Here is a 6,636-nt window from a genome sequence, read left to right on the forward strand (position 1 = left end):
AATGGTGGGGGGGTTGGCTGAATCGCGGCCAGAGATCTGTGGGGGCCAAGTCTGCCTAGGGCCCCAGCAGACAGTCGGGGGCTCCGAGACGTGCAGGGGGCACTTGGATCTACTTGAAGGGGCCTTTTTTGCCTGTGGGGCAGGAGGTGCACTGATTTGAAAAGGTTCTTCCAGTTGGCCTTGGGACCAGAACTGCTTCCGCCCTGGGATGTGCCATCGCGGAATTCTTTGTGGAGGACCCGGTGTCTTCCTGCCTCTCCGAATCACTGCACTCAGGGCTTATGGGGAGGGAGCAGAGACGGCACTCGCGCCACTTTCCTTACTAGGAGGGGGGTTTCTAAGTCTGGTCCTTCAACCAAGGGACTGACAACTTAGGGGAGCTTTCCCTGCAACTCAGGAGCAGGAAGGGAGTGGTGGGAACTATGTATCCAAACACGTTTCAGCGTCAGGGTCACTTTGTTTTTCCCATTCATCTGTCCAAAGGCAAAACAACGAGTGGATGAGAAACCCAGCCTGGGAGCCGTGAAGCTGCAGGAGGCCCCCTCGGCTGCCTCCCAGATGAAGCGAACCGGAGCGATCAAGCCTCGGGCTGTCAAAGTGGAGGAGAGTAAGGCCTGACAGTGCCTGGCTGCCACCTCGCCTCTCCCTACTGAGGACGGTGCCGCCATGCGGCCTCGACACAGCCGACACTCGGGAGCCTCACCAGATCCACCGTCCAAATGCGTGGCCCAGACTGAGAGACCTCCCTCCTCTCCACTCCCGAAAGCTCCGTTGTCAACCAGCTTGCACCCGTGGATATATGGCATTGACCCGCTTGCTTTGATACGAAACAAAAAAGCAGACGACTCCTTCATCCCATCTGCTCCTACCGTGACTGTGGAGTGACGCCTCCTGTGCAGTGCAGATTTGCCCTCCCTGCCTCCTCCCTGTCCTGCCGCGCAGCCAGGGCGCCTTCTCAGCAGTGCTTCCGGCCCAGCCGCCCATCCCTAGGCACAGTGATTTGGCAGCAGGGTCATTTTACTTTGAGGCTTTTTGTTTTAAAATGTAGCCAAGGTTTTTACAAAGGGGAAAGGAAAAGAAAACAAAAACGCAAGCTCCATGTGTATAGCTGAACTTTTATATGTTTCTTGCCAGCCCCTCCGCTCCCTTCCATCTCTAGCCTCTGTCCTGTTTAGTTTGATACGTCACTGCAGTACCTTAAGAGGTGACTCTTAAGAATGCATCCCCTCCTGATTCCTCAGCTGGTTCACCCTTGAGGTTATTTGCAAAAAGAAAAGGAGGTTCTTGAGGGCACCGATTGCGAGCATTCTGGTGCCTGGCTCCCCGCCTGGGAAGCGATGGGGTGCTCAGAGCAGCAGGCAGGTTGGGGGAGGGGGGGGGTCATAGTTGGGTTCCAGCTCCTGGCTTGATGAGCCCAGGGCGCTTACAGGCAGCCCATGAAGTTGATGACAGTTTTAGCATGAGAATCACACAGGGTCCCTGTCCTGGGCTCCTCTAAAGCCAGTGGATGTGCTGGGCACCAGAGACAAATCATGGAGATGGCTGCTGGTGGCTCCCAGGTTGGCCCAGATGGGGTGAGCTGACATACCACAGGCCCATCCCAGGCCCCGTGGGCTCTGCTTCTGGGGCTCCATACCCTGCCCTGCAGGGGTGCTGTGTTTTTCACACATTTCTTTCCCTGAAGCCTTCTGTAACCTGTCATTTTCCTTCCTTCCTCTTCCGGAGCCTGCTGCTTTCTCTGGACCTGTCTCCACCTCCCACACAGCTCATCGTGAACACCACTTGGTGATGGAGGGAGTGGACCCGTGTGTGGTCCCCAAGTGAGGCCACTGGGAGTTTGTCCTTTTCCTCCTTTGCTTCACTCCCAGCAGCAGACCCAGGTTGTCAGGACAGGAGGGCCTGAGCTAAGCAGTAGGCATCAGTCTCGTTTGTCTTCAGACGGCGGGGGCAGGTCCAGGGTGAGGCTGGGTGGAGGGCTGACCAAGGTCCAAAGGGCCTGCGCAGCCTCCGGGAGGGCAGCTTCTCCAGCCAGAGGCTTGTGTGAGCCATCGTGTGCTGGGCTTGTTTTTAAGTAAGAAACAAGGAAATCACTCCAGATTCTGTCATTCCAAGGAAAGGGAAGGGGACAGTTCAGGTTTCTCAGCTGTTCTTAGGGGTCACTGAGCGTCTACCTCCTCCTCCAGAGGAGGCTGGCTCAGAACACCTAGAGGAGGGGGCCGGGGATGCACCCCCCACCAGAGGCTGCCTTCAGCGTCTCACGGGTGCAGGACAGCGCTCAGGCTTGGGCTCTAAGCTCTGTGTCTAGTGTAGAACATGGGGAAGGAGCATCTTAGGAACTGCTGAAGTAACTTCTTACTGCTCTCACAATTCTAAGGAAGCGGGAGAACGGCCTCCTACCAACAGCGCCCACCCCAGAGCTGCCTGGGAAAGGGCAGTTTTACTGAAAGGTGCTTTACTGTTCACCTGCATCTTTCAGCAGCTCCCCTCCTGCCCTCACCTGGTCTTTTCCCTCTTTATCCCAAGCCTTTATGCTTGAGTCCCTTCCCCAGGGGCTGCCCACCCGACAGTTCCAGGCATTCCCTACCTGAGCTTCTTGTCTGCTTTTCCTTCTCCCACTGCAAGCGGCTGCTTGTGGGGCCTGGGATGAGCCCTCTCTGTCCCCACCGGCCCTCCTTGCCAAGCCATTCCTGGGTGAGTTCAGGCCTGCGGGAGCCACACATTCATCTCCACCTGGACACTTGAGCCGCATGGCCAGACCCCTCCCACCTGATGCGGTGGTGCGTGTGATTTGTCAAAAGAAAGCCTTCTGGATGCTGTTAAGATGTACCCTTCAGGTGAACCTGGTATCAGACCCACAGTACTTGCTGTTTGAGAAAAAATAAAAACAAAAAGGTCACCTGTTCTCCAGCCCTTTTCTCTTACCTGGTATTTCCTTCCTTTCTCCTCCCCCACCCCAAATAAAAAAACAAAAAACACTAGAATTTATTTATATGTATTGATGTTGTAGGTCTAGGTGAAAAAAAAAGAAGTAAATGTTTCACTGCTCTATTTATATATAATGTCTGAATTAATTCTGTGCAGGAAAGGCCAGGAAATTGCATGTGAAGTTCGGTGCAGTCACCACCTGTGTGTGACCTGAGCTGCAGTCTCTTCGCTGAGATGCAGGTTTTAAATGAGACTTGGGGGGCTGAGGGCAGGCCTCAGGCCTCCCAGCGCCCCAACCCCTCCTTGGTCTAATGAAATGCAGTTCTTAGTGCAGAGATGTTTTAAGGTGCAATATATCTCTTCCTTTCCCGTGGTTTTAGAGCCAAGCTCAAGGTAGTAGGACGTAGGGTCTTATTTTGTTTTCAAACCCCCATCCTCAGAGCGCAGATACATGCAGAGGCTTCTGCCAGGATACCACGGGGCCTTAGTGGGAACAGGTGGAGACCAGCACTTCCCTTTCCTGCTGCTGAGGTAGGGATTGGGGGGTCAGAACCCACTCACTTTTGCCTGTTAAAGTTGCCCTCCTGACGCTGGCAGCTCTGCCTTGGTCACTGGGGATGCGGCTCGTTGCTCAGCCACCAGTGGCCTTGCGGTATTGTCCACCATCCACTAGAGTGGGATGAAGTCCAGAGTGTGGGTATACATCTCAGATGCCCATCTACCCACTGGGGACTTCAATGCCAGCTGCATTTGGTTTGGTTTTCTTAACTGTTGGCTTCTCCCCACAGCGTTTTTTGTTTTTTTTTAAACATTCATATTGTTTTCAAACTTGGAATTCATAGACACTCTGGCTCTAGGTTCCTTAAGGGGGAAAACAAAAGATGACTTTATTTCACATTCAAGAAAATCAGTTCAGTTCCAAAGCTGTGGTCCTTCCAGCCACTTCTAGGGACACTGGGGAACCTTGTTAAACGTTGACATCAGTGCTCTCCAGCCGTGCTGTCACCCTCCTATCTTCTGGATCTGCCTTCGCGATGGTCAGTGACAGCTTCTGGAAGCTGAGCACACACAGGTGCACAGCCATGCTGTGGTCTGGCCTGCTACGGCAGCATGGCAGCTCTGGTGGAGCCTTCTCCCTTGCCATTTGGTTCCCCTGTGCCAAGTAGCTGCAGGCTGCCCCTCAAATCTTCATTTGTCCCTTTTCACTTCCTGCAGAACAAGCCTGGGTTAGAGGGTCTGCTGGAAATGGCCTTTGAAGACCAAGGATACCAGGATGTGTGCACTCTGTCGTGTTCTGTGATGAATGGGAAACGTAGGCTTCCAGAAAGCCAGCTCTCTTCTGAAATGTGACGGACCTAAGCAGGAAGTCATCCAGGACAGGAGTGGCTCAGTGTTGGGGATGGACGCTGTCGCCCAGCCATGCTCCACCAGGGCCACCAATGTGTAGTTGGCTGGTGGTCTTCGGGCATGTGAGACCTGCTCTTCACTGTTTCCACCCCACTTGGTGGCCTCCAGGATGGTAGTGGCACCCTCAGAGCCCCATCTTCAGCATGTTCTGAAGCCTCAGAGTGGAAATTCCTGCTAAGGCTCTGTGTGGACGCCTTTCTCCCGTGATCTAAAGGGGACACTGTACTCAAGCTTTTGACCTCATGCCTTGTGTAGTAAAAAAGGATTTGGGGGTTTTGTTTGGTTCCTGAGAGGGTTGTGTTTTGTTTTTGTTTCCTTTTGTTTATGTTTTGGCCTTTCCTCTTTGTCTTTCCATGTAGACCAGATATTTGAAAGGGCAGACGATGGCTAGAGGTGTAATGTGCAGCTTGTTTATACGGTATTTTGGGAAACTTACCTTGGATGGGAAATCGAATCGTGGATTCACCAGGCCGGTGCTGGCACACTCACCCTCGCCCTTTCCCTCCGGTTCAGTACCTATTGTTTCTCCTTTCAAATATGTGATTGTACTAGCTCTTTCCATATGAAAGAATTCTCCTTATTTAAATAAAAAAAGTTTAAAAAGATAAAGCTGAACGTGCTTTCTCAGGTTGTACATCCCTCGTTTCTTGGTCATTTGACCAGAGAGACCTACAGATCAAAGAATTCTAATTTTACAGAGTTCACACGGAAATTAGGAGTGGCACGGCTGAAATGCCTTAACAGAAGCTGTGTGGGTAGAGAAGGGATTGAAACCCGTGGCTAAGAAGCATCTTCCAAATGCGGCAGCATCAAGCACTCCACCCTCTTCCCACGGATGGCATCTGGTTGTGCACAGTGCCTGCCTGTGGCCCCGTCACTTGCCGTGAGAAACGAGCTGGTCAGAGGAGGTAAGCATTTGATGTGGCGTGTTGTGTTGTCACTTCTAGCGGTGCTTTTGCAGGAAGTGGAGGAGGATTATGCTGTGCTTTGGGGTGGGGAGGGAGCAAGCCAGGCCTGGGGTAGCGAAGGGTAAAAGGTAAGAATGGGCTGAGGCAGCAGTTCTCGGTTTTGCCATTGCCTCACTGACCTGGGGAAAGACGTTTCACCACCTGAGTCAGTCTCCTTAATCATAAAACACAGATTGTAATGGTATCGACCTCATGGCGTAGTGTGGATTCAAAGTCACCAGTAGCTTTTAGCTTAGTGCCTAGAACCAGCTAAGAAAACTTATAAATTACCCCCAAGAAATAAAACGCTGTTTCCATGAGGAACCCCAGTCCCTCAACTTCCTTCTAAGCCTTTTGACTATGGAAGAGAGTTGGGGACCTGGCCATGGGCATCTCAGCTTTAACTAGCCACACTCACTGCCCTGATTTACTGCTCCCTAGGGACAGGTGGCTCACAAAATCTCAAACGGAGACCAGCCCTGAAAGAGGCTAGTCCTAAGGTTGGGGGCTTGCAAGATGGAGGCTGTAAGTCCTGAGGCACCACCACTGTTAGCATGGCATGAACCAAAGCTTAACAGCCCAGCCCCACTCCCTCCTGGGGCCCAGGGAACCCTCCCTGCCCACTGTAAATACAGTTGCCTGCAGGCTCTGGCCACAAACCCAGGTGAGCCCCAGCTCCTTGCCTCTCTGTGGGATCTTGGGTGAGTCACATAACCCCTCAAGGGTAAGCCATAAAGAAGTAACCACGAAATTCTAACTGGTGTCATCTAATGCTATGTTGCCCAACATGGAAAAAAAGTCTTGCAGGCAGCCAAGAACCATAATGAAGGTTATTAAACCTGCAGTGTGCCCTTTTGGTCTGTATAGATTAACATACAAATAGACCAGGAGATCAAGAAGGAGCGAGGCTGAGAAGAGTGATCCATCAGCCTGGTTGCGTTGCTGTCAGTTACCCTGCTCTGGGTGCCGACTGTTCAGGGAAAACATGGGAAGGGGTGCATTGACCCAACCAAAAGTACCATGTCTGCTCCAAAGCAGGCCTTTGGGAAGGCTCTTGACCCTCAGCAGAGGGGGCTGGAGAGGCTGATGGATGAGGAGGAGCCCTGGGAATGGAGGAAGAAGCCTCCAGTCTTCTGCCACGGAGTTTAGGGGAGATGCCCCCACTGGAGCCTCTGATGGTCATGCAGCCCCCACTGATGTCCAGGTTTTTTTGGTTTTGTTTTTTGTTTTGAGACGGTCTCACTTTGTAGTCCAGGCTGGAGTGCAGTGGTGAGACCAAGGCTCACTGCAGCCTCGACCTCTCTGCCCCAAGTGATCTCCTGCCTCAGCCTCCCTTGTAGCTGGGACTGCAGGCAGA

The 6,636-nt window shown here is 52.6% G+C and overlaps 1 protein-coding gene and 1 pseudogene across 5 annotated transcripts in view, besides 1 other annotated feature; one reads left to right on the plus strand and one right to left on the minus strand.

Annotated features, from left to right (window-relative positions):
• The window catches only part of PRRC2B (proline rich coiled-coil 2B), a 126,543-nt gene extending 121,606 nt beyond the window's left edge, over positions 1-4,937 (plus strand). For all 5 annotated transcript variants that reach the window (NM_001384822.1, NM_001384818.1, NM_001384823.1 and 2 more), the window contains one exon: positions 484-4,937. In NM_001384822.1, the coding sequence (NP_001371751.1) occupies positions 484-526 (43 nt within the window). In that variant the 3' untranslated portion in view covers positions 527-4,937. The remainder of the gene's footprint in view (positions 1-483) is intronic.
• Positions 3,788-4,894, minus strand: LOC124902290 (uncharacterized; annotated as a pseudogene).
• Positions 4,760-5,959: an enhancer, noted in NCBI's record as "BRD4-independent group 4 enhancer chr9:134375403-134376602 (GRCh37/hg19 assembly coordinates)". NCBI's record gives its function as "activates an origin of replication core promoter dependent on BRD2, P300/CBP, MED14 and CDK7 cofactors, and independent of BRD4, by STARR-seq in HCT116 cells {active_cell/tissue: HCT116}" and the evidence as "EXISTENCE:reporter gene assay evidence [ECO:0000049][PMID:35650434]".

This window comes from Homo sapiens, chromosome 9 (assembly GCF_000001405.40).
Source record: "Homo sapiens chromosome 9, GRCh38.p14 Primary Assembly".
Lineage (NCBI taxonomy): Eukaryota > Metazoa > Chordata > Mammalia > Primates > Hominidae > Homo > Homo sapiens.